Below are 16,216 nucleotides of genomic sequence, written 5' to 3'. Positions count from 1 at the left end.
GAAGCAGATCTACCCTCAGCTGATCCTTCAGATAAGGACACAGTCTTGGTTGACAGTGGGGTTATAGCATTTCAGAGGATGTTATTATGCAGCAATAGATAGAACTGATACAGATTTTGGGATTACAACAATACAGATTTATTTCCCTGTTGAGGGATGTTCACTTTCTAGGTCTTGACTTTCCAAAAGATGCTATAATAAAGATCCTTAAATATGTGGCCTTAGGGACTGGGACTTTTATTTCCATCAAGTTTTAGGGCTGAAATTCAGGATTGAAGGCTTAAAAATTTTTTTTCTTTAAATTTTACTTTAAGTTCTGGGATTACATGTGCAGAATGTGCAGGTTTGTTACATACACTTGCCATGGTGGTTTGCTGCACCCATTAATCTGTCATATACATTAGGTATTTCTCCTAATGCTATCCCTACCCTAGCCCCCCACCCCCCAACAGGCCCTGGTGTGTGATGTCCCCCTCCCTGTGTCTATGTGTTTTCATGTTCAACTTCCACTTATGAGTGAGAGCATGTGGTGTTTGGTTTTCTGTTCTTGTGTTAGTTTGCTGAGAATGATGGTTTCCAACTTCATCCATGTCCCTGCAAAAGACACAAACTCATCCTTTTTTATGGCTGCATAGTATTCCATGGTGTATATGTGCCACATTTTCTTTATCCAGTCTATCATTGATAGGCATTTGGGTTGGTTCCAAGTCTTTGCTTTTGTGAACAGTGCCACAATAACCCTATGTGTGCATGTGTCTTTATAGTAGAATGATCTATAATCCTTTGGGTATATACCTAGTAATGAGATTGCTGGGTCAAATGGTATTTCTGATTCTAGATCCTTGAGGAATTGTCACACTGTCTTCCAAAATGGTTGAACTAATTTACACTACCACCAACAATGGGAAATTCCTATTTCTCCACACCTCTCCAGTATCTGTTGTTTCCTGACTTTTTGATGATCGCCATTCTAACTGGAGTGAAATGGTATCCATTGTGATTTTGATTTGCGTTTCTGTAATGACCAGTGATGATGAACTTTTTTCATATGTTTGTTGGCTGCATAAATGTCTTCTTTTGAGAAGTGTCTGTTCATATCTTTCCCCCGCTTTTTGATGGGGTTGTTTGTTTTTTTTCTTGTAAATTTAAGTGACTTGTAGATTCTGGATCTTAGCCCTTTGTCAGATGGATAGATTGCAAAATTTTTCTCCCATTCTGTAGGTTGCCTGTTCACTCTGATGATAGAAGCTTTTTAGTTTAATTAGATCCCATTGGTCAGTTTTGGCTTTTGTTGCCATTGCTTTCAGTGTTTTAGTCATGAAGTCTTTGCCCATGCCTATATCCTGAATCGTATTGCCTAGGTTTTCTTTCAAGGTTTTTATGGTTTTAAGTCTTACATTTAAGTCTTTAATCCATCTCGAGTTAATTTTTGTATAAGTTGTAAGGAAGGGGTCCAGTTTCAGTTTTCTGCATATGGCTAGCCAGTTTTCCCAACACCATTTATTAAATAGGAATTGCCTTCCCCATTGCTTTTTTTATCAGGTTTGTCAAAGATCAGATGGTTGTAGATGTGTGACAGTATTTCCGAGGGCTCTGTTCTGTTCCATTGGTCTATATATGTGTTTTGGTACCAGTAGCATACTGTTTTGGTTACTGTAGCCTTGTAGCATTGTCAGTTTGAAGTCAGGTAGTGTTTGAAGTCAGGTAGTGTGATGCCTTCAGCTTTGTTCTTTTTGCTTAGGATTGTCTTGCAGTCTAGACTGGATAAAGAAAATGTGACACATATACACCATGGAATACTATGCAGCCATAAAAAAGACGAGTTCATGTCCTTTGCGTGGACATGGATGAAGCTGGAAACTATCATTCTCAGCAAACTAACACTCGAACAGAAAACCAAACATTGCATGTTTTCACTCATAAGTGGGAGTTGAACAATGAGAACACATAGACACAGGGAGGGGAACATCACACACCGAGGCCTGTCGTTGGGTGGGGGGCTAGGGTGTGGATAGCATTAGGAGAAATACCTAATGTAGATGATGGGCACAGCCAACCACCATGGCTTGTGTGTACCTATGTAACAAACCTGCACGTTCTGCACATGTATCCCAGGACTTAAAGTATAATAAAAAAAAAATTGGCACTATCAATCTGGTTGTCTACAAGTGCAGAGAATTAGAAACTGAGGCCCAATCTAGAACTGCTTCTTTCCTTTTTCTTTTAGAGCTTCTCTCGCATCTTGGACTCTCAGGCTGCAGATCAATCACAATGCCATAGAACACAGATGACACTTTCCCCTGCTTTGGAGACCCGTTGTTCCCATGGTGTAGATACATGTAAGAGGGAGTGCCATAGAAAATGACAACTGCTCGTCAGGTGGGAAGCTCACATGAAGAAGCCTTGTGTCCTTCCTGCAGTGGAAGACATCTTCGGGATAGCAGCCAGGGTATATACCTGGGAAAAGATGACCACCATCAATCACAGTGGTGTTCAGGAGCTTTCAGTTCTCATGCCCCCACAGAAACAATGACTGACAACCATTCACAGATGAGAGCACCTTTGTGGAGCCCGGAAGGCCAGCAGAGAGGTCCAAGCATCCTGCTGAAGAAAAGAATCTGAACATAGACACTTTAAAGAGGATAAGAAAAGCAGTTTCATTTTACCAGCATCGGCCTCCCTCAAGGCAGCACAGCTTAATGTCAAAGAGACCTGCACCTCCAGTGATTTCTCCCATAGGGGAAAGTGAGACCTTCTCCAGCCTAAGGGGTTCTTTTCTTTCTCACCTCACCCAGAATACTGAATGAATGACTCAATAGTCCTGGGACAATTCGGGGCAGGGGCTCACAGCAACATGGGTGCAGTACATAAAGCGTTATTGTTTCCACTGGCTGCTCTGCAGAATCCACCAAGAGGCTGCTCACAAACCTTCCAGGACATATCACCTGTGGAGGCCACAACAAGACCATGGTTGTGTCTGGTATTTTGCCTGCCCTCTCCCCATAGATGTGCCTGCAAGAGCCTCTGCAGCTCATACACCAAAAACACACACAGACAGCCAACTAGACTGCTCTGGGTTGGGAGAAGATACTTTAAGCACTTCATGTCACTGCCCTAGGAAAAATAAATTGGAGATTCTCAGTACCCAGCATGGTTTTAAGGCTTGAGAGAAAGTATACAATCGTAACACTTCCTCGTGGAGAGGGAACAAAAGGAGTGGAGTTGGTGTATCCATAGGATAAGTCTGAGATTCCACATGCAAGTGAGATCATGCAGTATTTCTTTCTTCATCTGGCTGATTTCACTTAGCACAGTGTTCTCCAGGTTCCTCCATGCTGTTGCAAATGGCAGGATTTCCTTATTTTTAATGGCTGAATAATATTCCAGTGTCTATATATATCATGTTTTCTTTATCCATTCATCTGCTGACCAACATTTGTTTACGTATCTTGACTATTGAGACTAGTGCTGCAATGAACATTACAGATGAGAGTGCAGATATGTATTCGACATACTGATTTCATTTCCTTTGGATATACACCCAGAAGTGGGAATGCTGAATCATATGGTAGTTCTATTTTTAACTTTTTGAGGAAGCTCTGTACCATTTTTACAATGCTTGTACCAGTTTATAGTCCCATCAGCTGTGTACAAGGATTTTTGTCACACAAAACTTCAACACATCCTTTTCTTTTTGTTAGTAGCCATTTTAACAAGTGTGATGTGATATCTCATTGTGATTTTGATTTGCATTTATTTGGCAATTAGTGAGGTTGAGCACCTCTTCATATACCCATTGGCCATTTGTATGTCTTCTTTTGAGAAATGCCTATTCGGGTAACTTGACCATTTTAAAATCAGGTTGTTTACATATTTATTTTGCTATTGAGTTGTGTGAGTACCTTATATACTTTGGATATAAACTCCTTATCAGGTATATAGTTTGCAAATATTTTCTTCCATTCTCTACATTGTCTTTTCATGTTGTTGATTGTTTCATTTGCTGTACAGAAGTTTTTTAGTTTCAAAGAAGTAATTCCACTTGTTTCTTTTTGTTATTGTTGTCATGGGCTTTTTATGTCTTATCGAAAAAAATAATGCCAACAGCAATGTGAAAGTGCTTTTCTCCTATGTTTTCTTCCAGGAGTTATATGGTTTCAGATTTTACATTTAAGTCTTTAATCCATTTAGAGTTAATTTTTGTATATGGTATGAGTCCTATTTCATTTTTTGCATGTGGCTATCCAGTTTTTGCAACACTACTTATTAAAGGGATTTCCCCCCCAATTTTGTACTGGCACTTTGGTCAAAGATTAGTTTACCACATATGCCTAGATTTATTTCTGGGCTCTGTATTCTGTTTCATTAATCTATCTGTCTGTTTTCATGTCAGTACCATACTGTTTTGATTACTGTAGCTTTGTGTTATAATTTGAAATTATTGAGTGTGATGCCTCTAGGTTTATTCTTTTTACTCAAGATTTCTTTGACTATTGGAGGTCTTTTGTGGCTTATAAATTTTAGGATTGTTTTTTCTATTTCTGCAAAAAATGTCATCAGAATTTTGACAGAGACTGCATTAAATCTGTAGACTACTTTGGGTAATATGGACATCTTAGTAATATTAATTATTCCTTTCCATGAACACAGAATATCTTTCCACTTTTTTTTTGTCTTCAGTTTTTTCATCAATATCTCATATTTTCAATGTACAGATCTTTTACCTCCTTGTTAAATGTATTCTTTAAGTATTGTATTCTTTTTGATGCCATTGTAAATGGAATAATGTTGTTAGTTTCCTTTTTGAATAGTTTATTGTTAGTGTATAGAAACACTAATGACTTTTCTGTGTCTATTTTTTATGCTGTAACTTTCCTGAATTTATTACTTTTATCAGTTTTTTTTTGTGTGTAGAGTCTTTAGAGTTTTCTCTATATAAGATCATGTCATTTGCAGAGACACTTTGATTTCTTCCTTTTCAATTTGGATAATTTCATTTCTTTTTTTTTTGCCTAATTGCAACAGCTATAACTTCCAGTACTGTGGTGAATATAAATGGCAAGAATGGGCATCCTTGTATTTTTCCTTATCTTAAAGGACAATCTTTCATCTTTTTACCATTAAGTATGATGTAGACTGTGGGCTTGTCATACATGGCTTTTATTATTTTGAGACACATTGCTTCTACACCTACTTTGTTGAGACTTTTACCATAAAACACCATTGAATTTTGTCAAATGCTTTTTCTGTATCAATTGAGATGACCGTATGAATTTAATCCTTTATTCTGTTAATGTAGTGTATCTTATTTATTGTTTTGCATATGTTGAAACATCCTTGCATCCTAAGAGTAAATCCCACTTGATGAATTTAATGTGCTGTTGAATTCAGTTTGCTAACATTTTATTGATGATTTTTGCATGCATATTCACCAAGGATGTGGCCTTTAACTTTCTTTTCATGTAGTGTTTGTGTCTGGCATTTGTATTAGGGTAATGCTGGCCTCATAAAATCAGTTTGGAAATATTCCTTCTTCTCTGCTTTTTCTGGAAGAGTTTGAGAAGAATGGGCATCATTTCTTTAAATGCTTGGTAGAATATACTCAAGAAACCACCTGGTCCTGGGCTTTACTTTCTTGGGAGATTTTTGATTGCTGATTCAATCTTCTTACTCCTTCTGGCCTATTTGGACTTTCTATATCTTCATGATTTAGTCTTGGCAGGTGATATGTTCTAGAAATTTGTATATTTCTTCTAAGTTAACCAGTTTATTGATGTATAATTATTCATAGTAGTCTCTGATTCTTTGTATTTCTGTGATAACAGTTGTAATGTCTCCTTTTTCATTTGTAATTTTATTTGAATCTTCTCTCATTTTTTCTTGGTCAGTTTTGTTAAAAGCTAGTTAATAGCATTTGTCTTTTCAAAAAACCAACTCAGTTTTGTTGATATTTTCTATTGCATTTCTCATGTCTATTTCATTTATTTCTGCCCTAATCTACATTATTTCTTTCCTTCTGCTGACTTTGGGTTTAGTTGCTCTTAGTTTTCTAGTTCCTTGACGTGTAAAGTTAGGTGGCTTAAGGTTTCTTTTTTTTTTTTTCTTAATGTCGGTCCTTAATACTATACACTTCCTTTTAGCACTGCTTTTGCTGCATCCCATAAGTTTTGGTGTGTGGTATTCTATTTTAATTTGTCTCAAGATTTAAAAAAAATTTCCTTCTGATCTCTTTTTTTGACTCATTGGTTGTTAGGAGTGTGTTTTTAAATTTCCACATATTCGTAAAGTTTCCAAAATCCCTCCTGCTATTGATTTTTAGTTTTGTACCATTATGGTCAGAAAAGATACTTGAGATGATTTCAATCTTCTTACGTTTGTTAAGACTCATCTTGTGGCTTAGCATATGATCTATCCCAGAGAATGCTCTGTATGTGCTTGCAAAGAATGTATATGCCATTTCTGATGGATAGAATGTTTTATATATATCTATTAGGTCGATTTGGCCCATACTATAGATCAAGTCCACAGATTTGCTGTTCCTTATTGATTTTCTGTCTGGATGACCTATCCATAGTTGAAAGTGAAGTGATGAAGTCCTCCACTATTATTCCATTGCTATCTGTTTCTTCCTTCAGGGATGTTAATATTTGCTTTGTATCTTTAGATACCTTAATGTTGAGTGCATATATATTTACAATTGTTATAGCCTCTTAGTGAATTGACCCCTTTATCATCAAATATTCACTTTCTTTGTCTCTTATGACAGATTTTGACTGGAATTCTATTTTATCTCATGTAAATATAGCTACCACTGCTCTCTTTTATTTACTGTTTGCATGAAATATCTTTTTCTATCCTTTCACTTTCAGTCCATGTGTGTCCTTAAGTCTAAAATCAGTCTCTTGTAGAGAGCGTATTGTTGGATCTTGTTTTTTAATCTATTATGCCATTTTGTGTCTTTTGATTGGAGAAGTTAATCCACTTACATTTAAAGTAATTATTGACAGGCAAGGGCTTACTACTGCTGTTTTGTTACTTGTTCACTGACTTGTAGTCTGTTTATTCCTTTTTTCAATTCTTACTGTATGTCTTTGTAATTTGCTAAATTTTTGTGGTGTTATGCTTTGATTCCTTTTTAAAAAGTCATTTCTGTATCTACTAGAGGCTTTTACTTTGTAGTTATCACGGGCCTTACATAAAACATCTTAGAGTCATAATATTCTAATTTAAACTCATAACAACTTAATTCCAATTGCATATTAAACTCTAAATTTTTACTTCTCCCCTACCCCACATTTTATGCTATAGTTTTTCACTTCTGAATGACTACTGCTTTCTCATCAATAGCATGATCATTTCTGTTTTGTTCTTCCCACCTCTTGAGCAATGCATATTAAAATATCTAATTTCTGAGTTTTCCCTACTCCTCAGAGTATCCAAATCTACAGAGAGCCACTGATTCCTTCCTTCATTCTTGGATTCATGCAGCAAAGCCCATACTCTATGAAAATCCCCTTTCATATTTCTCTTACTGAGATACTTACAGCTCTGTGGAGTGTGTGCTGCAAAAGGAAAATAAACCTAAAATTTGGACTACAGCCCTGTTTGGTCAGTAGATTTGAACAAAACAAAGTTCCTATATATGAATTTGATTTATCTTTTTAATTATATAACATAACTTCTATAACTTAATTCTAAAGTTTTTTTCTCAAGTTGGTCTGTCATGAATTGGAAGAGACGAAGTAGCATTTGCTACTACTATTGTGTATCTTTTGCCCATTTATTTTCTGTTTCTTCTTCTTTTTTAAATTCTGTGACTATAAAAGCTATATTATTTGGTACACAGATTCTCAAAGAATAATTCACATTTCTTCACAGCCTATTTCTATGAGCAAAGGCATTTATAGTCATTACATTTAAGAAGGTTTGCATGAGGAGATATATCAGGATAATAAAACTTAGAGATGCCTCTCTCTCCAGAGATGGTCCAGGAGGTAAATAAAGACTTGTCCTTTCCTATCTGGAGATTTGCTTACATTTTAGAGTGAAAATAAGGTTTCTTTCAATAGAGGGGAGGATGAGCAGGTCACTATCAATGCTGTATAAGCTCTTGAGTTTCTCAGTTTTGGGTTTTATCTCCTGTAATCATATATCTCCTGCATGTATATAATATATATATGTATATCATATATATACACATATATGTGCATATATTTCACATAATACATACACATCTGTGTATGTTTTAATACACATATTTTATTTTACTTTTTTACAACGGGAACACTAAAGTCTGATCCCATATTTAAGTTCTAGATTTAAGCCTATAATTCTGCATTAATTCTCATTGTTGGGAATTGATGGATATAAGGTATGAATTCTGGGTAAATGAGCCTGCTCGGTAGCACCAGACTCTGCATGGTATGTTGTTTTCCTAAGATGTACACTTGCAAGAAGGTATAGCTGAATATTGAAGTTATATTTACCAGTGACAAAATTGATATGCTCTATATTTTTCTGACTCCTGCACTGATTTCCTAATTTGTCAGGGAAACTAGGGAAAAGATGGATATTTGTCCCTAATACCCCAATATCCGTGAAGATTTACTCCACTGTCTTTCCTTTCCTTCCTTCTTTTCTGCATATATTATCCAAAGAAATAATCTTTCAAATTTTACTTTACAGTTACAAATAGATTGGCTGTAGAGAAAAATACCTCTCAAGAGAAGAAAAGAAAAGATTCCCTCTACCCCCTGCTGAGTCTTTATACTCTATTTAATGGAAGTCCTTACACAACATTGATTATGCACTTCTCATTGATTTACTTTACTATTTTTTTGATGACAGATATCTCAAAAAAGCCTCATTAAAATGTATGGATGCAATTTCAAAGATATTGTTTTAGACACATTTTCTTTAAGGAACACATGGATTAGAAGTTTGTTTATTTAATCATTCCAAATGTTTTTCTCTATCTTTCAAATGCTATTGATATAATTAAGTAATGCATTTCTGTCTTATAGACATTTGTCATATTTTCTGAGATTGAGAAATAAGAGCACTGTTGGCTGGCTTGTTGAGCCATGTTGAGATAGAAATCAAAGTTCAAATTAGAAATACTTTTTTTCTGTTAGTTTTATGGCTTCAATCACATCTTGGTTTCTCTGGCTGTAAATCAAGGGGTTTAACATGGGAATAATAATGCCATAAAACACAGAGGCCACTTTTTCTTGTTTTTGAGACTCATTAATACGATGGCATAGATACATGTAAGAGAGAACCCCATAGAAAATGGTGACTGCTGTCAGGTGGGAGGCACATGTAGAGAGACTTTTTTCTTCCCTGCAGCAGAAGATATCCTCAGGATGGCAACCAGGACATATATGCAGGAAATGATGACCACCATCACAGTGCACATCAAATTTAATCCCACAAATACTGTTAATAACATGATGTTGAGGTCAATATTGGAGCATGGTAGGGCAATAATTGGAGGTTCATCACAGAAAAAGTGATTAATTGTTTTGGATTTGCAGAAGTTCAATGAGAAAGTGAAACTTATGTTTATAGAGGCATTTAGGAAACCCATGACATATGAACTAACTAATAGCTTAATGCAGAGTCTCTGGGACATAACCCCTGGATAATGGAGTGGGTTACAGAAGGCCACATAACGGTCTACTGCCATAGCAGCCAGGATGTAGCAGTCACTTGTTGCAAAGTACCATAAACTAGTAATTGCACCATACATCCTATACATGAGATAGATTTTTTTGTTTCTACAAAGTTTTTCAACATCTTGGGAGTGATAGCAGAGGTGTAACAGAGATCAACAAATGCCAAGTGTTGGAGGAAAATTTACATGGGGATATGAAGAGAAGCATCAATTTTGATAAGTAGGATCATTCCAATATTACCTACTGGGGTAACCACATAGATTGCTAGAAATGCTATGGAGAGGATATGCCAAGACTTGTGTTGACCAGCAAATCCCAGGAGAATGAATTCAGTCACTTCAGTGCCATTATTTTGTTCCATGGCTAGCATAGATTAAATATCAGCTGAAAATATGCAAAGAAAGAAGCAAATAGAAAGAGAAAGCTAAAATCATTGTTATCTTTTAACTTATTTCAGATTTGGAAATGTCTTAATATTTGGTTTCATAGTGGGGTCAGCATGTACTTTCTGTGACATGATTGACTTCTATTTTAAAGGCTGAAACTTGACAGCCAGCTTAGAATTTCATCTACAGTTTGTACAAATTGCAATGGAGCAGTTGCTATATTCCCGGGGTACAAACTGATTGGCAATTCAAAAATATATCGGTTAAGAAATCTATGAAATATTCTTTTATTTAATTATGACTTCTTTTATGTTCTTTATATTTTAATTAAAATATCTCAATTTACCTAAATAGTAATTTTATATCTAAAAATCTTGACTTCTTCTTAGGGTTCTATATGACCTTGTTTCAACTTATCTCCATATTTTCATTTTACCCTTTTCCCCTTCTTACTAACTCCACCATGGCCATCATGACTCATGGCTATGTAGAACTCTTCACGGAAGTATTTATCCAAGTATCTGTGCCAAATGATCTTATTTTAAAAATAATTCCCAATCTGTTATCCAGTTATGGATAGATACCAAATTGCTTACAATTTGTCTCCGATACAAGTAACTCAGTGTGAAAATTTCTCAGTGATGTACTCCTAGAGACAAAATTGTTGAATCTGAGGATATGCCCACATTTAACTTGACAAGCATTGCAGATCACTTTCCACAATGGAGGCACCAGTAAACAGTCTTACTAATTGCGTGTGGGAATTCCGATATCCACACTTCCTTGTGAACACTGGTATTTTTACTTTTTTCTTTTCTTGGGCCACAAAACAGGTGTAAAGTAGCATACCATTTTAATTTTTTCCTCTAACTGCAAATGTAATATCCTTCTTAGAATTTTGGAATTCTATTGTTCTGTAATTTGCCTGTTCCTATTTTTTTTACAAATATTTCTATTGAGTTGATTTATAAATGTTCTTTTTAACTTATCAGTTGACTTGACAAAAATTTCCAAACATTGTATTATCTATTAACTTTGTCTATAATATGCTTTTCATGGACCAGAAATTATTAAACTTGAAATGATAATTGATCATTTTTTGTTTTATGATTTGTTCTCTTGAAAAAAAAAAGGAATGAAGTTCATTCCTTTCTCTAGTTCATTTTCCCTGTGGATACAAATGCAATGATAAAACTTATTTTCCTTCTTATAGTGTGTTGCTGCTACCTGATGCTTGCTGAATCATAATACTTTATACCATACATATAACCTGATATTTTTGTGGTTTCTCAATATTTTTTTTTTTAAAGAAAGCTAACAGGAAAGACATTATTTAGTAGTTGGTGTGTGTGTGTGTGTACCAAATATTTAAATTTCAAAATATTAAATGATTTGATTTTCTATTTTAAAATTAACCCACAAAAACACTAGAATCAACTATGTTGAATACCTATGACTTAGATATACAGATAAAATGTAAGAAGACATAAAAGCACAAATCGTAAAACATTGAAAATTCAACCATATTAAAATAAAAATATCAATATTATGAAAGAGAAAAGACTGGATAGTGACTGGAAATTTACTCACGTTGGAAATTTACTCAGGTAAATTTATTTTAAACACATATAAATGCCAAAAAATATGTAGCCACAAAACTTAAAAAAAATAAAAATTTAGTGTCTAGTACATATAAATAATTTCTATAAATAAACTTGAAAAATTCACAAAGGACATAAACCAGATAATTATAGAAAAGAAAACCCAAATGACCAACAGAAATGTGAAAAGATGAACAACTCACTAGTAATCAGGTAATTTCATATTAATACTTCATTGAAATACAGTCTTATGCTCAACAATCTGAAATGCCAATTTTTGATGAGTAATGTGGAGCCACAGGGATTCACATATTTCTGCTGGGAAGGAGAATTAGTACAGTCATGTTGGAAACAAATTTGGAAATATCAGTAAAATTAAATGTATGCCTTTCTGTGGTCCAGAATTTCCAGTGTAGGTACATATTCTTGAAAAATTCATGACCACATATAGAAGGATATACAAATATCTATGAACATGTGTATACATAGATATACCCGCAAGAATGTTTATAGCATAGTCATAGAAAAAAATACGAGCTATTAAATAAGCTAGTTAAATGGTGCTACAGCATCTGCATGGATACATCTTTCAAATGGAATGCTAAGTAATAAAAAGCAAGTTGCCGAAGTTAGATGGCAAGCTACATGAGTTGTTGTTAAATGATTATAAATATATGTGTGTGTATATATATGTGTGTGTGTGTGTGTGTGTGTGTATATATATATATTTGGGAGGGAGTCTCGCTCTTGTTGCCCAGGCTGGAGTGCAATAAAACATCGAAAATTCTGCCATATTAAAATAAAAATATCAATATTATTAAAGAGAACAGACTGGATACTGACTGGAAATTTACTCATGTTGGAAATTTATTCAGGTAAATTTATTCTAAACACATATAAATGCCAAAAAATATGTACCCACAAAAATTAAAAAAAATTAAAATAAAAACAATCTTGGCTCACTGCAACCTCTGCCTCCTGGGTTCAAGCAATTCTCCTGCCTCAGCCTTCCTAGTAGCTGGGATTACAGGCACCCACCACCACACGTGACTAAGTTTTGTATTTTTACTAGAGATGGGTTTCACCATGTTGGCCAGGCCGGTCTTGAACTCCTGACCTTGGGTGATCCACCTGCCTCGGCCTCCCAAAGTGCTGGGATTATAGGCGTGAGCCACCGCGCCTGGCCAATTTAAAATATATATTTGTACATCTTAAATATTGTATAATAGTAGAAATTGGTCATAGAAGAAAAAAATCACATCCCCAATATATCAGTACTGGAATCCTTTATTCTGATGTCAGTAATGCCAGGTAGAGCTGTAGCTGCAAAGATGAAGTGATTTGTTTCAGGTAAGAATGTGCCTTTATTGATGGGGTATCTAGCAAGCTAAGCTGGGTGTTGATATGGGCTTCTCTGGCCCTTTCCACTATCTTAAGAAATAAGCAGAGTGGGTTAACTCTAGGAAAAAGAAACAATTCTTTTCAAGTCTACACTTAGGGCTGAGGGCCAATAAGCTTGTATAAGTTGCCTCCTCAGGTAAATTTGCTATAAAATATATGAAATGCAGGTCTTTCAAGGGGGCTTCCTTCCATCCAGTGGGTAAAAGCACTCGTCAGAGGAAGCTAGAAAAAGTCAGGGTCCACTTAACCTAGAATCCTGATTATAATGACAAGCAGCTGATTCACGTGAACGTCCCAGCACAAGGAAAGTATTGAATGGATGCTCAAAATTAGTCATAATAATACATGCAAATAATGCATTAAGGGCATATTATATTCACTCATTAATTCAATAAGTCAATCATTTGTTAATTCATGTAATTTCCAGGCAACACAGCCCGATTTAGTTCCCTCACTCCATTTTCATCACACCACCAGGGATGAAGTGACTCCTCCTGTTTTTGGGGTGAAACATGCTAGCACTTAGGCTCTGATTCTTGCTCTACCATTACCTGCACACACTGCAATGATAACATTGATACATGGCTGATGCCGAAGATGCGCTTTGCTTTGTTTTATTTCCCCCCAGATTGCTTCCAGAGTCTCTTTCTGCCACTGTGCAGCCTGATAACCCACCATGGCCTATCTCTGTTTGGTTATTCACTATCAGGTGTTTATAGTTGGGCCTAAGAGATCGATATTCACTTTCTTGAGATTCGAGGTTTCGGTGGCTGAGATGCAATTTGGAAAAACAATGTTCACTACATATTTCATGCTGACAAAAATTTAAACTTTCTAGAGGGCCTATTTTTTTCCCAATGTTACTGTCATTAGGGACTTCTTCTTTTTTTAAAGAGCTGTCTTGTTAGAGAACAGCTGCTTTTTTTTCTTGTTAAGAATGAGGATGAGCATGTTTTTATATATCTAAGAAATTATTTTTAGGTCTAGTTAATCATCCCTGTCACCACAATCAGCAATAAGCCTGGTTTTCTGAAAGAATCTAAATTTAATGTAAATTTATCTCAGCTCTAGATGTCACATTCTCTTTCAAAGAAAGAAAAACAGGGACAAAGACAGCAGGGTGACACCACATATATACCCTTGACAGATATATATGATATACATATATAATGCCTTCTGCAAACTCCCCAGCAGACTTTTACGTACATCTTATTTGCTAGAACTGTGTTACATAGATTAGCAGATATCTTTGTGTCTTGTACCGCACTTCCTTAGTACTTGATTTCAGTGCATCTGTGGTAGACAGTTTTGTCTGTGCTACCAGCAGTCCATCTTCTATAACATCTCTCTGCTTCTCTGCCTCAGAAATATCTCTGAAAACATTAAAGATCACTCATCAGGGCCACCACAGGTGCGTGAGGATGTTAAAATCCTTGGGCAATCCCAAACCACTGGGTGAGGGGAGTTGAAAAAATGTCTTAAGTTCCTGTCTTTTAGAAGAATAATTCTGAAGGACATTCCACATATTTTATCAGAATCCCCTGTAGGATCAAGTTCCAGTTTTCCGGAGTGTATACCAGCAAAGTAATTCCTCCATTGCTGGATTTTCTCCTTTTGTATTTCGCTATTCTTGCTCCCGGTCTCTGCGGCCTTGGAAACTTCCCTCGAGGAGCTTAGAAACCTGTCTTCTGAGGGAGCAATTCTCACTACACACTCACCCTCAGGTTTGATACTTCACTAGAGTGACTCAAAAATTCAGCTGTTATGGACTGAATTTTTGTATTCCCTCAGAATTCATCTGTTGACTCTGAAGCCTCAATTGGTGATTCAGGAGGTAAGGATTTTGGAAGATAAAGTCATGAGGGTAGAGCTCTTCTGACTGAGATGTGTTTCCTTATGAAAGAGAACCCAGAGAGCTCTCTTGCCTTCTTTGAGTATCCTGCAAACCCGAAGAGGCCCCTCATCAGAACTTGACCATGCTGGCACCCTGATCTTGGATTTCCTACTTCCAGAATTGGAAATAAATTTCTTTTATTTATAAAACCACCCAATCTATGCTAATTTCCTATAGCAGCCTGAACTGATTAGGATAGAAGTTGGTATAAGGGGTGGTGCCGCCCATTAGAAATTCCTAATATTGTAGAAATCTGCTTTGGAACTGGGAAATAGGTAGATCCTAGAAGAGTTTTTAGGTGCATCTTAGAAGAAGCCTAGATTTATGTGAACAGACTTTTAAAGGCATTTTGGTGAGGGCGCAGTAAGAAAAGGTAACTATACAGAAAGTTTCTGTATTCTTAGAGAATATGTAGGTAACCATGAACAGAATGTTGGTAGAAACATGGAAGGTAAAGGCCCTTCTGATGAGGTCTCAGATGAAAATGAGGAATATGTTATTGGAAAATGGAGAAAAGGAGATCCTTGTTATAAGGTAGAAAAGAACTTGGCTGACTTGTGTTTATGTTCTGGGTTTTGTGGAAGGTAGAGGTTGAGAGCAGAAGATTGCTAAACAAAGTATTGAAGGAACAGCTTAGTTTCTCCTGACTGCTTATAATAAAATGCAAAAAGAGAGAAATGGTTTCAAGATGGTTCTTTAAGCAAAAAATGAACCAGAACTTAAAGATTTAGAAAATCAAATTCTTAGCCTATCCGTATTGCAAAAGTGAGAAAGTGTATTTGGAAGAGAACACGAAGGCTGTGGCCAAGTGTCCATTTGATAAGATTAGTATGAATGTGAATGACAGGCTTAATCAGTCATCTCAACAAAAGACAAGAATAGAGATGGGATTATGCCAGTGGGAGTACTGCCAGATAGGACTAAAGGAAACAGAGAAGATAGGACAAAATGAAAACAGCCTATAAGACTTTTTAGACCCTGCTGTACTGAACTATAGAAGTATCTGGGTGTATACATGTAGTATTTTTCAAGACAAGGAAAAAAGAACCTGGAAGGCAATTAAGAAATCATCAGGGTCACCATTCCTAGAATGCATGAGCCCAGGAGGTGGGATTGCCAAAGAATGGGACCAATACTTAGAAAGTTGGGTTGGGGTATCTTGCCAAACCCTGGTGGTGGTGCAATCCCCAACCCAATAGAACTGAAGCATTAGGGGCCATGGAAGAGTGCCAAAGCATGGGCAGTGCCTCCCCAAGC

At 36.0% G+C, this 16,216-nt stretch overlaps 1 long non-coding RNA gene and 2 pseudogenes across 2 annotated transcripts in view; 1 reads left to right on the top strand and 2 right to left on the bottom strand.

Moving 5' to 3' along the window:
• The window catches only part of LOC105369309 (uncharacterized), a 189,617-nt gene extending 184,055 nt beyond the window's left edge, over nt 1-5,562 (top strand). Inside the window, exon 7 of the long non-coding RNA XR_007062670.1 lies at nt 2,228-5,562. This is a non-coding gene — a long non-coding RNA (uncharacterized LOC105369309). The remainder of the gene's footprint in view (nt 1-2,227) is intronic.
• OR5AO1P (olfactory receptor family 5 subfamily AO member 1 pseudogene) lies at nt 2,162-2,492 on the bottom strand (annotated as a pseudogene).
• A 3,549-nt stretch (nt 5,563-9,111) lies between the features above and the next one.
• On the bottom strand, nt 9,112-10,038 carry OR5AK4P (olfactory receptor family 5 subfamily AK member 4 pseudogene; annotated as a pseudogene). Its single transcript, NR_036445.1, has one exon. The product of NR_036445.1 is annotated as an olfactory receptor family 5 subfamily AK member 4 pseudogene (transcript).
• Nucleotides 10,039-16,216: the final 6,178 nt, after the last annotated feature.

This window comes from Homo sapiens, chromosome 11 (assembly GCF_000001405.40).
Source record: "Homo sapiens chromosome 11, GRCh38.p14 Primary Assembly".
Classification (NCBI taxonomy): Eukaryota; Metazoa; Chordata; class Mammalia; order Primates; family Hominidae; genus Homo; species Homo sapiens.
Note: the sequence above shows the minus strand (reverse complement) of the source record. Positions and strands in the feature narration are given on the sequence as shown.